We start from the raw sequence: 17,677 nt of genomic DNA on the forward strand, positions 1-17,677 counted from the left end.
TGTTAGTCCAAAGGAAAAAGAGCATTTCTCCCATTTAATCATTCAGTGAGAGTCCACCACATATGTTACACTGTGCATTTATTTACAAAGAGGTTAGAGAAACACACAGAATCTGGCCCCCCTTTGCACTGGGGAGTCACCATCGTCATAATAAATACAGTAATTTTAAAAAAGAAAAAAAATACTAGATTGGAACAGCTGAGGGTCATCAGGCTTCCCCCATTCCCTCTCACAGGGAGTGGGGGTCATGAGATAGAAACCATCTTCCTTCCCCTCTTCTACCTCCGAATCCTCCATAATTGTCCAGGGATCGAAGTGAAAGAGTCCTTCTTTCCAGGTGTTACCAACCCCTACTTGACCCTCAAAACCCCCAAATCAGTGCTCCTTCCCTTCCCAGGGCACTCTGCAGGGACCACCTGAGTCAGACACAGAGTCTCTGACCAGGGTGCCAAGGGGATATCTTAAGGGTCCAGGGACATGGAGGGGGCACTTTGTGAATGAGAGGGGGCCATAGCTGGGCAAGGAAAGGAGGAATGAGAGGGCTCATCAGGAATGAGAGGGAGAGCGGTGGAGGGGAACAAACAGACTAGGCTTCTAAACTAAAACGGGGAAATTCAAACCGAATTACCCCTTTTGCATACATGGACACTTACTGTACAGATGAGGAAAGTGACGCCCAGAGAAGGGGAACTGTCTTGCCCAAGGGCTTCCAAGCTAGAAGCTGAACTGGGTCAAACAGGGCTCCTCCCCATTCCTCTCGGTGGTGGTGGGGGAGCCTTTTCAACCAAGACTGTTAGGAGTGGGGAGAGTGAGGGGGGTCTTTGGAAGCAGAGAAAACGATGGTCTTTGGAAGGTAGATGTGGAAGGGTCAGTGGTTGGGAGTGTGGAGGTGCAGAGGCCATGAAGGGGGAGCCCAAGCAAATCCCCAAACTCACACTGTAGTCATGACCTTGAGAGAACCCGAACGGAAACGCAGTATCTTTTTCTTGAGCGCGTGGGAAGCTTTGATTTTCACGAAGACTTTGGCGGGGCCTGCGGGCGCCCCTGCACCTGCTCCACCCCCAGAGGCCGCGGTGGCCGCCACCAGCTGCTGCGGCCACACGAGGCCACCGCTGCCGTCTGAGTCGCTGGAGGCAGAGCTGAAGGCAGGCGATTCTCCCTCGCTGGCGCTCGATTCGCTCTCCCCGTAACCCCCGCCGACGCCTCCCGCAGGCCCCCGGCGTCCCAGGGGCCCCAGGCGCCCAGCCGAGCACTCGGAGTCGCTGCCCGCGCAGCCGTAAAGCAGACGACGCTGGGGAGCTGACGGGGACGGGCCGGGGCCGGGAACACGCGCCGCAGGGGCTCGGGGCCGCACGCGGCGCCCATCGGCAGCGTCGATCTCCGCAGTGGAGCGCCAGCGACGGCAGGACCCTGCGGCCTGGGCCGCCAGCGTGGGCGCTGGGCCGCGGCGTGGCCGTGGAGGCCGAGGCTCTTCCCGCTCCGCCGTGGGGTACTTAGGGGGCCCCGAAGGGACCGCGGAGGCGCGGCCCAGCAGGCTGGTCTCAGACTGGGAGCGCGAGGCCTTGCGGGCCCTGGGCGAGCCGCGGCGGCCCGAAGCCTCGGCCATGCGTCCACGGCGGCCGGCGGCCCGGGGACGCTCCCGGGGTGGTGACTGCTCCACGCTGCGGCCGCGGGTCAGTGGCGGCGGTTTGCGGCGGGCGGCGCGGCCAGGGAGGCCTCGGGTGGCCGCCTGCGCGCCCGGGATGTACTGCGCCTTCACCAAGCGGCCCTCAGCCGGGCTGTCGGGGGGTGAGGGGGCGGCGGGCGGCGCAGCGGGCTCGGGTGCCGCCTCCGACTCCCACGACGACGCCCAGGCGCGGCTCAAGGCGGCAGGGCTGGTGGGGTGGCCCCCGACGCGCTCCAACGAGGGCTCCCGCGCGGGTCGCGCGCTGCCGGGGGACGGAGACGCGTCGGGCGGCCGCTGGCGCACGCTGTTCTGGCGCCGCGGGCCGCCGTCCGCGCCCCCGGGACTGGTCCGGGGCTGGCCCGCCCCCCGGCGGCGGCGCCTGCGCAGGAGCGCCGAGATGTAGCCGTCCAGGGGCCGCCCTGCGCCCCCCGCGTCGGGCGAGTCGGTGGGAGGGCGGCCGCAGGGCCGCGGGCTGCGCATCGCCACGGCGTGCAGGGGGCTGGGCGTCAGAAAGGGCCCGGCGCGGGCCCGCCGCTCCGCCGAGGAGCAGGCCTCCGGGCCGGCGGACCCCCCTGCCGTCGGGTAGGGCGCTGAGAAGGACCGCGGCACCGCTGCCCGCGCGCCCACCACCTCCGGAGCGCTGGGACTGGCGTCTCCTAGGGAAGGAAGGCCAAAAAAAAAAAAAAAAGAGAGAGTGGAGGGGCTCTCAAAGTCCTTTCCCATTTCTCATCCAGCCCGGAAGGGGCGGGTTGCCTCCCTCCCTTCCATCCTCATCGCAGCAAAAACCCTGCTCTCACACCTTCCTTCTTGTAAAATTCATAATAAAATCTTTACAGGGTCCTACAAGACCCTGCGTGACTTGTCCTGCCTCTGCCTCTGCCTCTCCAACTCTCACAACATCTTACCCCCTATTTTTTTTTTTTTTTTTTTTTTGAGACGGAGTCTCGTTCTGTCGCCCAGGCTGGAGTGCAGTAGCCCGATCTCGGCTCACTGCAAGCTCCGCCTCCCGGGTTCATGCCATTCTCCTCCTGAGTGGCTGGGACTACAGGCGCCCGCCACCACGCCCGGCTAATTTTTTTGTATTTTTAGTAGAGACGGGGTTTCACCGTGTTCGCCAGGATGGTCTCGATCTCCTGACCTCGTGATCCTCCCGCCTCGGCCTCCCAAAGTGCTGGGATTACAGGTGTGAGCCACTGCGCCTGGCCTTTTTTTTTTAAGACAGGTTCTTGCTTGCTCTGTCACCCAGGCTGGAGTGCAGTGGCGCAATCATAGCTCACTGCAGTTTCCAGCTCCTGGGCTCAAGGGATCCTCTCGCCTTATCTTCCTGAACGGCTGGGACTACAGGAACGCATCACCATGCCCTGCTGATTTTTTTATTTTTTGTAGGGATGGGGTCTCACTGTGTTGCCCAGTCTAGTCTCCAGCTCCCAGGCTCAAATAATCCTCCCGCCTCAGCCTCCTAAAGTGCTGGGATTACAGGCATGAACCACTGAGCTGACCCTTCTCCTCTACTTATAGGACTCCAGCCACACTGGCCTCCTGAAAGCAGGCGCCAGTCACATTCTGGCCTCAGAGCCTTTCTGCTTCCCATTCCAGATTCCAGATGCCCGGAATGCTCTTCCTTCTGGATATCTGCTAGGTCCACTCCCCCACTTAGTTCAGGGCACAACTCAAATGTTACAGTCTCAGTGAAGCCCTCCCCAGCCATATTTTCTAAAATTGCACTTCCCTCCCCAAACTCAAAGGGACACTTCTGAGTCCCTTTCCCCGGCTTATTTCTTGTCATAGCACATGGCATTATTTCGTACCCTAGATATTTTACTTATTTATCCTGGTTTATTTATTTATCTATTTATTTATTTATTTATTTATTTATTTATTTTTTAGACGAAGTCTCGCTCTGTCACCCAGGCTGGAGTGCAGTGGCATGATCTCAGCTCACTGCAATCTCTGCCACCCAGGTTCAAGCGATTCTCCTGCCTCAGCCTCCTGAGTAGCTGGGATTACAGGCACGCGCCACCACGCCCAGCTAATTTTTGTATTTTTTGTAGAGACGGGGTTTCACCATGTTGGTCAGGCTGGTCTGGAACTCCAGACCTCGTGATCTGCCCGTCTCGGCCTCCCAAAGTGCTGGGATTACAGGCATGAGCCACCGCGCCTGGCCATTTATCCTGTATTTTATCTATTCCTCCAACTAGGCTGGCAGTTTCCTGAGGGCAGGGATTTGCCTGTTTTGTTCATTACTGTTCATTTTGTTCATTGCTCCTGGGATACTGCTAGGTAGCACATAGTGGGGGCTCAAAAACTTACTTGTATGAATGAATGACAGCAGTTCCTGTTTACCAGTGACTGCCATGCACCAAGTCCAATGCCTTAGAGCAGAGGCTCACTGAATATTCAAAAATATCCCCTTAGGGCAGGCACTGTTTGTGTGTGTGTGTGTGTGTGTGTGTGTGTGTGTGTGTGTGTGTGTGTGGTTGGTGTTTTATTTTTATCTTTTTGAGGCAGAGTCTTGCTCTGTCACCCAGGCTGGAGCGCAGTGACACCATCTCAGCTCACTGCAACCTCTGCCTCCCAGGTTCAAGCAATCCTCCTGGCTCAGCCTCCCAAGTAGCTGGGATACAGGCATGCACCACAATGCCTGGCTATTGAGGCACTGTTATTATACCATTTTATATTTATTTATTTATTTTTTGAGATGGAGTCTCACTCTGTCACCCTGGCTAGAGTGCAGTGGCTCCATCTTGGCTCACTGCAACCTCCACCTCCAGGGCTCAAGCAATTCTCCTGTTTCAGTCTTCAGAGTAGATGGGACTACAGGCACACATCACCACGCCTAGCTAAGTTTTGTATTTTTAGTAGAGACAGGATTTTACCATATTGGTCAGGTTGGTCTCGAACTCCTGATCTCAGGTGATCCACCTGCTTTGGCCTCCCAAAGTGTTGGGATTACAGGCATGAGCCACTGTGCCCAGCCTATTTATTTATTTATTTTGAGACAGAGTCTTGCTCTGTCACCCAGACTGGAGGGCAGTGGCACAATCTTGGCTCACTGCAACCTCCACCTCCCAGGTTCAAGCGATCCTCCCACCTCAGCCTCCCGAGTAGCTGGAATTACAGGTGTTCGCTACCACGCCCAACTAATTTTTGTATAGACGGGGTTTCACTATGTTGGCCAGGCTGGTCTCAATCTCCTGGCCTCAAGTGATCCGCCCACCTCCCAAAGTGCTGGGATTACAGGCGTGAGCCACCGCACCCAGCCATATTTCATTTTAACAGATGGAAAAACAGAGACCCAGAAATAAGAGACCTGCTCATAACCATGTGAAAAGGAAATGTCACAGCTGGAATTGGAATCCAGGCCCGATTCGGAAGTCTGTGCCCACAACCATCCTCCTACTGTCCTTTCCCTGGCCCCAGGGCCCCACCCTCACCCACCTTACCTAGGGACTTGGGCCTCTCACTGGCATAGATGCCCCGGGGCTCAGAGGGACCCAGGCGACCATAGGAGCTGGATCCAGAGAAGCCACTGTCCCCACAGAAGGTTGAGGGTGGTGAATCTGGACCTCCTGTAGAGCTGGGATCTTCATAGAAGCCTAAATTTCCAGGAGAAGCAGAGAGACTTCAGGGGGTTTGGGTGGGAAAACCAGAGCTGGGGAAAGGAGGAGATGGCGTGGGGAGAGACACAGGGGGCCTCAGAAATAGGGATACGGGGAACATGGAGGCGTCCCAGGCAAACCCTACCCCTCCATCCATGCTCACCCGAGCTACGCCCGCTCTCCTGTTCCAGGCCCCCAGACTCCAGGCTCAGGTCTCCCAGCTGCTGTCCCAGGTCCCAGACGAGACCAGGCAGGGCCTCCTGAAGGCATAGGGAGAGAAGGATGGTCAGAAGGCCCCCAGTCCTCTGCCGACTGGTCCCCTATTCCACGAGCTCATGGGCAGAGTTTCACTTTGACAATGAGGCTCTCGCTTCAAAGGATAAAAGCAGTACCTCAGTCCCAGGACCCCCTCAAGATCTGTGTCCCTTCATCCCCATTAGAAAGTCCTTCTGACGTTCCAACTCCAGTCCTTCATGCTGCAGCCCCATCTCATTCCCTCTTAGGTGTGATGAGGCCTCAGAAAACCCCCATCTCTTGCCCTGTCTTTATCAGTTGCTACCCCCAATCTGTGCTCAGAGCCCCTCAACCCTGATTAGAATGTCCCTCTTTGAGTCTAACTTCAGGATTGCTGTAAGGACAGTTTACTGCTAAAAGGTGGTGTCCAGGACCCCCAGATCCCTTAGTCATAGGTCTGCCTTCTTCTCCAAGTTTTTCTTTTTTTATTTTTATTTATTTATTTATTTATTTATTTATTTTGAGATAGGGTCTCACTCTGTCGCCTAGGCTGGAGGGCAGTGGCGTGATCCCAGCTCACTGCAGCCTCTACCTCCCGGGATCAGGCAATTCACCCACCTCAGCCTCCTGAGTAGCTGGGATTACAGGCGCCCGCCACCACGCCCAGATAATTTTTGTGTTTTCAGTAGAGGCAGGGTTTCACCATGTTGCCCAGGCTGATCTTGAACTCCTGACCTCAGGTGATCCACCTGCCTCAGCCTCCCAAAGTGCCGGGATTACAGGCATGAGCCACTGCGCCCAGCCTCTCCCCGTCTTTGACCTTCTTTCTCAGATACGCCCATTGCCCCTTATCACCAAGAGAAGGTCCTTTTGTGAGTCTTCCTTAAGTCCTTCCTGCTGCAGATTGCCTCTTTCCCCCATATGGGTAAAATAGGCTGACCACGACTCATAAACGTCTTTGCTCTCCCTTCAGAAAGAACCTCCCAAGCCTCCTAGACAGTCCTGTGAGTCTAGCCTTACTGGTACTGCAGCAGCCATCCCAGCACGTTCCTTTGCCCTAGAGACCACATCCTCCTTCTGCCTTTGGTCCACTCCCACCAGGAAGCTCCAGTGAGTCTACCTTTCCTCATCGCCATGAGAAATTTCGGGGAGTCAGGCCGGGCGCAGTGGCTCACGCCTGTAATCCCAGCATTTTGGGAGGCCGAGGCGGGCGGATCACATGAGGTCAGGAGTTGGAACCAGCCTGGCCAATATGGTGAAACCTTGTCTCCCTTAAAAATACAAAAACTAGCGGGGCGTGGTGGTTTGCGCCTGTAGTCCCAGCTACTAGAGAGGCTGAGGCGGGAGGATTGCTTGAGCCCAGGAGGCAGAGGTTGCAGTGAGCCGAGATCACACCATTGCACTCCAGCCTAAGCAACACAGCAAGACTGACAAAAAAAAAAAAAAAGGAAAAAAGAAAAAGAAATTTCCATGAGTCTACCCTGGATCCTTCTTGCTGCAGGAAAAGAGCACTTCTCACGGATGGGGTCTCCAAGACATTAGGACTTAATCTCATTTTAGAAAAGAGAGGGTCAGAGCCAGAAAAAGTCTCACATGGGTCTGAGTGAGGCCGGGTAGCAGCAGGCAGCCTCGGGCTGACGGTTGACCCTCAGACAAAAGCGGCTTGTCTGGACCGCAGGAGGGAGGGAAGTGGGGAGGAGGGTTTGGGAGGGCAGGCACCCAACCCTGCCTATTTAGGGCAGAAAGACTGGCCGGCTCCCCGGCAGCCACAACCCCCCCGCCCCATCCCAGTCTCTCCAGGGCCCAGCCTCTCCCATCCCCCTAGAACAGAAGCCCCCATCCGGGCCTGTTTATTTGAGGAAGGTCAACAAATCCTTCCACTCTGGGCTCCTGCCCTGGGTATATTGAGATGCTCACAGTGAAGTCATCTTTGAGCGGAACTCAAAAAAGCAGCTGAATTGTGCAGCATCAGGAAGTAACTAAAAAAAAATCTCTCGGACCTACCATGTACCCCATGTCACGTCCGTCACAAATCACTGGCATGCTCACTCCCCTCTAGCCACGCCTGGCCTTGCCACCGTCCCTCGAACATACCATGTATGCGCCTACCTCGGGAGAATGTTTCCCCCACATACCTTCCTTGCTTCATTCAGATCTTTGGTGATCTCTTCTCTGACACCTTTCCAAAATAGCTCCCCTGTCATTGTGTACCCCGTTGCCCTGCTTTTCGGGTTTTTTCTACATATCAGTAATGACCTCTTGATTTAAAATTATACATCAGGCCAGGCTCGGTGGCTCACGCCTGTAATCCCAGCACCTTGGGAGGCCAAGGCAGGGAGGATCACTTGAGGTCAGGAGTTCAAGATCAGCCTGGCCAACATGGTGAAACCCCGTCTCTACTAGAAATACAAAAAATAGCCAGGTGTGGTGGTGTGTGCCTGTAATCCCAGCTACCCAAGAGGCTGAAGCAGGAGAATTGCTTGAACCAGGGAGGCGGAGGTTGCAGTGAGCCGAGATCACGCCACTGCACTCCAGCCTGGGCGACAGTAAGATTTCATCTCCAAAAACAACTAAAATAAAATAAAAGTATACATCAAGGTATCATTTGTTTGTTGAATCTCTCACTAGAATGTCAGCCCTAGGAACGCGGAGATTTGTCTGTTTAGCTCACAGGTGCACCCCCACCCAGTGCCTAGAACAGTGCCTGGCACAAAGTGGGTGCTCAGGAAATATTTAATGGGCTGGGTGTGGTGGCTTATGCCTATCATCCCAGCACTCTGGAAGTGCCAAGGCGGGAGGATCGCTGGAGGCCGAGAGTTCAAGACCAGCCTAGGCGACATAGTGAGACCCAGTCTCTCTCTCTCTCTCTCTCTCTCTATATATATATATATATATATACACAAACACACATATATATATACACACATATATATACACATATATACACTATATATACACACATGTATATACACATATATGTATATATATGAAATTTATTTATTTATTTATTTATTTATTTATTTATTTTTGAGATGGAATCTAGCTCTACCGCTCAGGCTGGAGTGCAGTGGTGCAGCCTCCACCTCCCAGGTTCAAGTGATTTTTTTTTTTTGCCTCAGCCTCCCAAGCAGGTGGGATGACAAGCATGTCCCACCACACTTGGCTAATTTTTGTGTTTTTAGTAGAGACAGGGTTTCATCATGTTGGCCAGGTTGGTCTCGAACTCCTGACTACAAGTCATCCGCCCACCTCAGCCTCCCAAAGTGCTGGGATTGCATGCGTGAGCCACTGTGCCTGGTCTTTTTTATTTTATTTTTGAGACAAGGTCTCACTGTCTCACCAGGCTGGACTGCAGTGGCACGATCACGGCTCACTGCAGCCTTCACCTCCTGGGCTCAGGTGATCCTACCACCTCAGCCTCCCAAGTAGCTGGGACTACAGGCACATGCCACCACACCCCCGCTAATCTTTGTATTTTTTTGTAGAGACAGGGTCTCCCTGTGTTGCATAGGCTTGTCTCGAACTCCTGGGCTTGAGCAGTCCTCCCGCCTCGGTCTCTTAAAGTGCTGGGATTGCAGGCATGAGCCATTGCACCCAGCTGTCTATTTTTTAAAAAGAAATATTAGATGAAAGAATGAATGTATACAATGGAATACTATACAGCTGTTAAAACGGAATGAGTCAAATTTCTATATAGAATCATTACCAAGATATAGCATTGAGCAGAAACAGAAAAGGGCAGAATATATATAGTATGAGTGACTCAGAATTACCTGGAGGGCTTGTGAAAGCCCAAATGACTGAGTCCCATTCCCAGAGCTTTTGATTACAGCCTGCAGTCACGCCCAAGTAGTTGTATGGCTAACAAGTTCCATGTCATGTGGTGCTGCTGGCTAGGAGGCCACACTTTGACTGGCATAGTCTCTGGGACCTCACCCAAGAAACTAGAATTTGTAAAAAGCAAAGCTTTGACAAAAGCTCTACGTTTTTTGGTATGTAAACAGTTTCTGTTAGGAGATATGTTGGAAGAGGTCTGGGAGGTGACACTAAGGTGACAATGATGGTGACCTCAGGGGATAGGTTGGATTTAGGGGATCCAGGGAGGAATGAGGGGACTGGATGGTGGAAGGAAGTGTTTAAGGAGGCGTGACTTGGCATCACATTAAGCTCTGCTGCTCCCCAGCTGTGTGACCTTGGGTGGGTGACTTTACCTCTCTGGGCTTCAGTTTCCTTATCTATAACTGGGCATCATAGGACACCATCTCCTGGAGGTTATTGTGAGGATTAAATGAGTTTCTTTTTTTTTTTTTTTTTTTTTTTTTGAGACGGAGTCTTGCTCTGTCGCCCAGGCTGGAGTGCAGTGGCACAATCTCGGCTCACTGCAAGCTCCGCCTCCCGGGTTCACGCCATTCTCCTGCCTCAGCCTCCCGAGTAGCTGGGACTACAGGTGCCCGCCACCACGCCCAGCTAATTTTTTGTATTTTTAGTAGAGACGGGGTTCCACCACGTTAGCCAAGATGGTCTCAATCTCCTGACCTTGTGATCTGCCTGCCTCGGCCTCCCAAAGTGCTGGAATTACAGGCGTGAGCCACCGCGCCCGGCCAATGAGTTTCTTTTGACACATAATAAATGCCAGTTTGTATGATTACAGGAAAGCTATGAATTTCTTATAAGGAAAATAGAAAATGTTTCCATTGTTTAATTAAAAATAAATGTAGGTGTCGGGCGCAGTGGCTCACGCCTGTAATCCCAACAACTTTGGGAGACCGAGGCGGGAGGATCACTTGAGGCCAGGAATTCAAGACCAGCCTGGCCAACATGGTGAAAGCCCATCTCTACTAAAAATACAAAAATTAGCCAGGGGTGATGGTGCATGCCTGTAATTCCAGCTACTCGGGAGGCTGAGGCAGGAGAATTGCTTGAATCCAGGAGGTGGAGGTTGCAGTGAGCCGAGAATCACTTGAACCTAGGAGGTGGAGGTTGCAGTGAGCAGAGATTGTGCCATTGCACTCTGGCCTGGGTGACAGAGCAAGATTCTGTCTCAATGAATAAATAAATAAAGGCCAGGTACAGTAGCTCACACCTGCAATCCTAGTGCTTTGAGAGGCTGAGACAGAAGGATTGCTTGAGCCCAGGAGTTGGAGACCAGCCTGAACAACATAGCAAGACCTCATATCTTTAAAAAAAAAAAAAAAATTAGCCAAATGTGGCGGTGTGCACCTGTAGTCCTAGCTTCTTGGGAGGCTGAGGCAGGAGGATTGCTTGAGGCCAAGTTAGAGGCTGCAGTGAGCTATGATCGTGCCACTGCACTTCAGCCTGAGAGACTTTGTCTCCAAAAATAAATGAATAAATAAATATATCATTTAAAAATACATAAATAAACGTGAAAGGATAGACTTTTTGGTAAGTTCTGCCAAGTCTAATTCCGGTTCTTCCATTACAAGGAAGAGCAGAAATTAGGGAGACAGACAGGAGATGCCTCCTCCTCTCCAGCACCTAGACGCCCCCCAAAAATATTCCAAGTCTACACCCCTCTATTTGCAAGTCTGGCCTCATTCCTTCCAGTTGCAAAAGGATGAATCTTTAAAAGATTAGAAAGTCCTTGGCCTGAGTCTGGCTCTCTGCCTCCTCACGGTGCCCCTCATCCTTCCTCTGCAGGCTTAATAAGAGTGTGGTTAGGACCCCTGGAGACCCCTTTGCCCAAACTTCCCTTACCTTGTTTCTCCCCTCACGTGCCCCTCGTTGGTATCCAGTGCCCATTTATCTCTATTAGGAAGTCATTCTGCAAGTCTAACTTAAGTTATTCTTGATGAAAGGAACCTTTTTCCTTCTTGAGAGCAAGCAGGACCCAGGGAGCCCCTGCCCTCACCCAGGATTCCTGCCTCTCTTCTCTGCCACACCCCTGATCTTTACCTGGTATCCCCATCATTCCTATTAGAAAGTAATCAAGTCTGGCTTCAGTCTTTCTTGCCTTGAAGGAAGTGTATTCCTGGCAGGGGCTGGGGGTGGGGGGATAAGTCATAAGACAAGGGTTGGGGGATCAGAAGAAGCCCTAATCCACTCTTCAGAGGGACCCAGGAACCCCCAGCACTAGAGAAGTTTATATTTAGCGCTTCTCTGCTCCTCCTCCTCCCCCCGCCTGCCACCGCCTCCTCCCTGATGCTGGGACAAGCTTTGCCTAGAGACTGGGGGGTGGGGGGACAGGCCTCTCCACTATCAGCTCGTGCCGGGAGGACAGAGGGCTGAGGGGGAGGAGGGGACAGAGGGACCGAGGAGAGGGAGACTGAAGGGCAGAGATGGGGAAGGTGAAGGGTGAAAAGGGGAGAGACCGAGGGCAGAGGGGGAGAGGACACAGCTACCCACAGCTACCCCAACCTCATGCCTCGCATTCTCCTTGTCAGGATGGAAGGCGCCTTCCAAGCCGAGCCAGCTTGGGGTGGGGGGAGCTAGCGAAGGCCCCCACAATCCGTCTCTAACTTTGGGAGGGGGTGGGGCCTCCCACAGCTGTTTCTGTTTCCAGAAAAGAATGTGCAGGGGGGTCCCACTCCTGAGAGGGGGAGGGGCCGGGCGTGCAGCCCCGGGAGCCTGGCTTCAGTCTTCCTCCCCACTCCCCATCTGGGGAGGGGGCGGTCGAGGTCAGCGGCGGGGAGAGCCCCCTCCACTGCCACCTCGGCTCAGGTTTCCCGAAACGGGAAGCTCTGGCCACACACAGGCTTGGGGATGGGGATCTGCCGTGGAGCCAGGGTGTGCGGGCTGGGGGGAGGGGAAGACAGACTGAGCCTGGGACGTCGGGCAAGAAGAAGAGAGCGAGGTGCAGACAGGCAGGAAGGGAAGGCCAAGGAGACAGATGCAGAGGGACACAGAGATCACAGAGACAGAGAGACAGGATGAAGAAAGAGAAGCAGACACAGAAAGTCACAGGGATGTGGCAGGACGGAGAGAGTGACAGAACCCAGGACGAGATCGGGAGACTCAAGGAATGACATAGAAAGGGGAGAGGCATGGGGCGTCCTCAAGTCATTCCGGAGACCTCTGCCCATCTTCCACCATGAGAACACCCAGAGTCCAGAAGTCTCCCCCAGGCGCTGCCTCGACCTGCCTCCCCTTGGGTCAAGGAGAGCTGGGGCCAGGTAGGAAGCAGGGGAAGTGTCACCAAAGGGTCAAGATCCCAGTGGGGGGTCCTCAGGGACTGTGAGCTTCCTCTCAGCAGTGGTCCCTCCCTCTGGAGGCCCTGAGATTCCCCTCCTCCCACCCCGCCCCCTCCAGAGATCTCCAAGCACACCAGGACTTAGGGAAGATGGAGCCCTGGTGGCGGGGCCCAGAGAAGGGCATGTTTGGAGCCTGGCTGTGTCACCTTGGGTGAGTCGCTTGCTCTCTCTGAGCCTCAATTTGTTTCTCTGTTAAATGGGGACTATCACCCCGTTTCCCAAGCCGCAAGAAGACAACGCCTGCAAAGTACCCGGTCTCGGGTTTGACACATACTTGGCGCCCACAAGGATTTTCTTTGGGGAAGGGGTGTAAGAGACAGGGCCTGTGTTTCTCACGAGGCCCCAGTGGGGGCGATGCAGTTCCCCCTCCCCCGATTTGGGGGCGGGGAGGCCAGGTCCGGCCCGCCGCCGGAACTCCGGGGTCGCCAGCCCCACCCCCTGTCCTTTCTCACTCCCTGCCTACCCGGGTCCCCAACCCCCGCCCGGTGTCTGAGCATCCAACCGAGACAGACAGACACAGACGGGGGTGGAGGGACGGACGGACAGGCAGCCCCTTACCAGCTGCTCCTCCAGGGCCGCTGCGGCCCGGCGCGCCGCCGCCGCATCTTCATCCTCATCGGCGTCCTCCTCGTCCTCGGCCTCGGCGCCCCCCATTCCGGGCTGGGCCAGCCGCAGCGCCTGCTGCACGCGGTACTCCTGCCTCTCCCGGAGCCAATGTAACTCGCAGAGCCCGGCCAGGCTACCCTCCAGCCAGCCCCGCAGCCGGCCCCGCTCAGGGCTCACCGGGAACGAGAAGGCCCGGATCATGGCTGCGGCCCCCCGCCCCAGCCCGGCCGGGCCCCGCGGCCACCCCTCTCCCGGTCCCACCTCCCCGCCCCAGCAGCCTGCCCGCCCGCCCGCTGGCCGGGCTGTCACCGTCTCATCTGCATAGGCGCCCGCCCATTGGGCCGCCCACCCGCGCCTTATCTGCATGGCCACGCCCCCGGCGACCGAGCAACAGCCGCCTATTGGCGAATAAGCTTCCTGACGAAGACTCTCGGGCGTGCAACCGCACCGCCCAACACGACGCATGCTCGCAACTGCCTACTCACTCCGCTCGCCACGCCCCCTCCGTGCAACTGCCTCGGGGCCCTGGCCACGCCCCCCCACGCGTCACAATGAAACAAGCCCGCCCTTGCTTCAATGCCATTGGTCTGTGCCTGGCCGGTCCTGCAGCAGGTTCCACCCTCTTGCGGGCGAGCGCTGGCTACCATTGGACTGTCCGGCGCGAGGGGAAGGGTGATCTATAAATAGGGAATGGGTACACGTGACAGTTTGGCAGCTGCTCCTACCCCTCCACCCCGCCCAACCTTCAGCTTCTGAGGCTGCGCAGGGGGAGAAAAGGGTTAGGGGGTCGAGCCCTGACTTCGCCTCCTCTTCCAAGAAGCCTTCCCAGACACTCAGCTGTAAAACCAGACGGACGTCCTCCGATGAAATTGTTTCTACTTAGGGCCGGCTTCACCGGCTTGGAATCCACTTAGAAGGGTCTTCGCGCTTGGTTGAATGTTCTGCAATTTCTGTCTTGAAATTTTTAGTTTTTGAGCAAGGGGCCCCTTATTTTCACTTTGCACTAGGCCAAATATGTAGCCGGTCTTGCTGCTAAGAGTCTAAGATCGATTGCATTCCAAATTCTGGAATTATAAGACCCTGGGTGGAAGATTCTATGCTTTGACCAGAAGAGAGTCTAAGCAGCTTTTGTCTCCCAGGTGCTAGGAGGATGTGTGCTCATCATTCTTCCATTCCAGGGGCCTTTGTTCTACGTTCTAAGGGGCTTTGTTCTCAGCCTTCTATGATGCTCTATTCTCAACGTTCTCTGGTCCTAGGAGTCTGAGCCTGACATTCGTTTCCAAGGCTTCCTGCTGTCTCTCCAGGCTCCGCAAGCAGGGCTGGGGCACCCTCAGGCGGCCAATCTGTATCACTACGCCGAGCCTGCCTCTACCAACTTCCAAGACCTAGCTCTAATATTCATACTCATCTCTCAGACAGACCTTGGCTCCCTAAAAGCCAAGGCCCAGAAGATCATACAAGAAATTCCCTCTTTTATGATTCCCCGTGCACGAAGTGACCTTCTGGTGGTGAGATGGAGAGAAATTGATAGTGGCGATAGACAGCAAAGTCTCCAGGAGCCAGACTTCCTCGGGGTGAGTCACAGATCTGTCACTTTCCAGCTGTGTGACCTTGGAAAACTTACTTAACCTCTCTGTGCCACCGTTTCTTCATCTGATCACGGGATCATAATACTGGCTGCCTCATACAGTTGTTCTGAGGATTCAATGAAATGTATTAGGTACTTGGAGCAGTGTCTTCCATGGATTAAGAGCCACAGAAGGGTTTGACAAATAAGTTTAAAAACTAATCTAGTAAGTTTCCGGGGGGAAATGTCTTGAAATTTATTAGAGACAACCTTTATTCAGTCTTCCTCTTGTTCAAAATAGACTTAGAAAATTAGTCGGGTGTGGTGGTGCACACCTGTAGCCCCAGCTACTTGGGAGGCTGAGGCGGGAGGATCACTTGATTTCCTTTTTGACTTCTTGATGCTTTTATTAATGATGATGCCAAAAGATTTCTGGAGAATCAGCCAGGCGCAGTGGCTCACGTCTGTAATCCCAGTACTTTGGGAGGCTGAGGCGGGCAGATCACCTGAGTTCAGGAGTTCAGATCAGCCTGGCCAACATGGCGAAACCCCATCTGTACTAAAAATACAAAAATTAGCTGGGCATGATGGCACACACCGAGACTGTGGCACTGCACTCCAGCCTGGGTAACAGAGGGAGACTCCGTCTCAAAAAAAGAAAGAAAGAAAGAAATTGAGAGAGAGAGAGAGAGAAAGAAAGAAAGAAAAAGAAAGAGAGAGAGAAAGAAAGATAGATGTCTGGAGAATCAACAAGCAACAGTTGCTTCCAAACATGGCACACAAACTGGATATGGTGGCATGTACCTGTAGTGCGAGCTACTCAGGAGGCTGAGGCAGGAGGATCACTTGAGCCTGGGAGGCTGAGGCTACAGTGAGCCATGATTGCACCATTGCACTCCAGCCTGGGTGACAGAGCAAGACCCAATCTTTAAAAAAAAAAAAAAAAATTGTGATTACAGAGACTGAGTCCCATGCAGGGGCTGTTAATGAAGTTGCAGAAGCTCATAGACCTTGATTTATAGATGGTAGGGATGGGAAGAGGTTCCCATAAAAATCGAGTGGTGCGTTGGGAGAGGCCTTTGAGGAAGGCGTGTAGGGCACAGTGCTCCATCCAAAGGCTTTGGTGGTGCGAGTGAAGGGGATGGGGCCCTGGGAGTAGTGATTTGTGCTGAGAAAGGGGAACAAAACTGACAATCCTAATTGCAGTTGTAAGACTGAGTAAACACTTTTGCAAAAGTAAGCCAGGGGCATTGTGGATCTTGCAGGCTGGAAGGTAGAATAGGGAGGGGAGATGTGTCATTTGGGAAGAGACAGAAGTTACAGCTGGAGAATTGTGATCTGAGAAGCATGTAATCAAAGATCAGTCAAAGAGAATGCAAATGAGGCCGGGTGGGGTGGCTCATGCCTGTAATCCCAGCACTTTGGGACGCAGAGGCAGGCAGATCATTTGAGGTCAGGAGTTCAAGACCAGCCTGGCCAACATGGCGAAACCCCGTCTCTACTAAAAATATAAAAATTAGCTGGGTGTGGTGGTGCACGCCTGTAATCCCAGCTACTTGGGAGGCTGAGGCAGGAGAATCGTTTGAACCTGGGAGGTGGAGGTTGCACTGAGCCGAGATCACGCCACTGCACTCCAACCTGGGCAACAGAGGGAGGCTCTGTCTCTAAATAAATAAATAAATAAAGAGAGAGAGAATGCAAATGAAAGGCAAAAGTCATATGATGAGAAGCAGGCACGGGAGGACCAGAGTGGGTATTAAAATGGGGAATCCTAGCCAGGCTCTGTGACATGCACCTGTAGTACCAGCTACCCAGAAGACAGAAGCAGGAGGATTGTGTGAGCTCAGGAGTTCAAGGCCAACCTGGGCAACATGGTGAGACCCTGTCTCTAAAATAGCGTGTGTGGGAGGGAATCCTGGAGTTTCTGATTCCAGGAGCAGGCTGTCTCATGATGTTGTCTGCTTAACCCAAGGTTCTTGGGAGAGCTGTCTACAATTGCAGCCTCGTCTGCTTCCAGGGCTCTTGAAAGAGCCTCCCTCTGAGGTCTCCAACGGGAGTGGATTCCCATTCAGCACAGGTCTTATATCTCTTCATCTCTGAGATATGAACCCAAGGCAGGACAGTCTGGTGTTTGCAATAGTGTAGGGTCCATCCCATCTGAGTTCAAGGTTAGTCTTCCTGCGATGTCTTTTCCGGAGGACTAAATTCCCTGTTTGGAAATTATGAAGAGGCCGTGATGGAGTATTTGGAGGGAAGGCAGCTCACACTTGTTAGTGACAAGCATAAGTGTACTTAGTCCTTGATAATATCTGAGAATGTCGATTGTAATAGATTAGAGTCCTCAAGGGCCCAATAGGAGTAGAATCCTTGTGAGTCTTTGAGTGATTATTTCATAAGAAGATTATTGATATGTGCTCTGGTAGGAAGAGTAATGGCCCCCCCCTAAGATGTCTACATCTTTATCCCTGGAACCTGTGAATATAGCACCTTTTATGGAAAAAGGAACTTTTTGTGATTAAGAATCTTGAGATAGGGAGATTTATCTTGGATTATCCTGGTGGACCCAGTATCATCACAAGTTTCCTTATAAGATGGAGGCAAGAACGTTAGAGTCAGAGAAATATGTAAATATAGAAGCAGAGGCCGGGCCAGGCACAGTGGCTCACACCTGTAATCCCAAAGCTTTGGGAGGCCGAGTGGGGGAGGATCGCTTGAGGCCAGGACTTTGAGACCAGCCTGGGCAACACGTTTCTACAAAAAAAAAAAAAAAAAATCAAAAAATTAGCCAGGCATGATG

The 17,677-nt window shown here is 53.5% G+C and overlaps 1 protein-coding gene and 1 long non-coding RNA gene across 7 annotated transcripts in view, besides 4 other annotated features; one reads left to right on the plus strand and one right to left on the minus strand.

Annotated features, from left to right (window-relative positions):
* Positions 1-13,632, minus strand: DACT3 (dishevelled binding antagonist of beta catenin 3). 5 transcript variants are annotated; one of them, NM_145056.3, is made up of 4 exons: positions 13,266-13,632; positions 5,429-5,525; positions 5,110-5,262; positions 1-2,322 (listed from the first exon to the last, which is right to left on the minus strand). In NM_145056.3, the coding sequence occupies exons 1-4, from the start codon at positions 13,512-13,514 to the stop codon at positions 932-934; spliced, it is 1,890 nt and encodes a 629-aa protein (NP_659493.2). In that variant the 5' UTR covers positions 13,515-13,632; the 3' UTR covers positions 1-931. The 5 variants fall into 5 exon arrangements, with proteins under 5 accessions (NP_659493.2, XP_011524801.1, XP_016881823.1 ...); XM_011526499.3 differs by lacking the exon at positions 13,266-13,632 and adding an exon at positions 11,413-12,130; XM_017026334.2 differs by lacking the exon at positions 13,266-13,632 and adding an exon at positions 11,215-11,400.
* Positions 899-948: a silencer, noted in NCBI's record as "silent region_10819". NCBI's record gives its function as "represses an Ori minimal core promoter by ATAC-STARR-seq in GM12878 lymphoblastoid cells {active_cell/tissue: GM12878}" and the evidence as "EXISTENCE:reporter gene assay evidence [ECO:0000049][PMID:35858748]".
* Positions 6,982-7,708: an enhancer, noted in NCBI's record as "H3K4me1 hESC enhancer chr19:47157789-47158515 (GRCh37/hg19 assembly coordinates)". NCBI's record gives its function as "activates a minimal SCP1, AML or CMV promoter by ChIP-STARR-seq in naive H9 embryonic stem cells {active_cell/tissue: H9 hESC(naive)}" and the evidence as "EXISTENCE:reporter gene assay evidence [ECO:0000049][PMID:30033119]".
* Positions 12,814-17,677, plus strand: part of DACT3-AS1 (DACT3 antisense RNA 1) — a 17,093-nt gene continuing 12,229 nt past the window's right edge. Inside the window, exon 1 of one of the 2 annotated variants that reach the window (NR_040042.1) lies at positions 12,814-12,858. This is a non-coding gene — a long non-coding RNA (DACT3 antisense RNA 1). Of the gene's footprint in view, positions 12,859-13,927; positions 14,888-17,677 lie in introns of those variants that run through there. The other variant, NR_040041.1, reaches the window with a different exon arrangement.
* Positions 13,430-13,679: a silencer, noted in NCBI's record as "silent region_10820". NCBI's record gives its function as "represses an Ori minimal core promoter by ATAC-STARR-seq in GM12878 lymphoblastoid cells {active_cell/tissue: GM12878}" and the evidence as "EXISTENCE:reporter gene assay evidence [ECO:0000049][PMID:35858748]".
* Positions 13,890-14,009: a silencer, noted in NCBI's record as "silent region_10821". NCBI's record gives its function as "represses an Ori minimal core promoter by ATAC-STARR-seq in GM12878 lymphoblastoid cells {active_cell/tissue: GM12878}" and the evidence as "EXISTENCE:reporter gene assay evidence [ECO:0000049][PMID:35858748]".

This window comes from Homo sapiens, chromosome 19 (genome assembly GCF_000001405.40).
Source record: "Homo sapiens chromosome 19, GRCh38.p14 Primary Assembly".
Taxonomy (NCBI): Eukaryota; Metazoa; Chordata; class Mammalia; order Primates; family Hominidae; genus Homo; species Homo sapiens.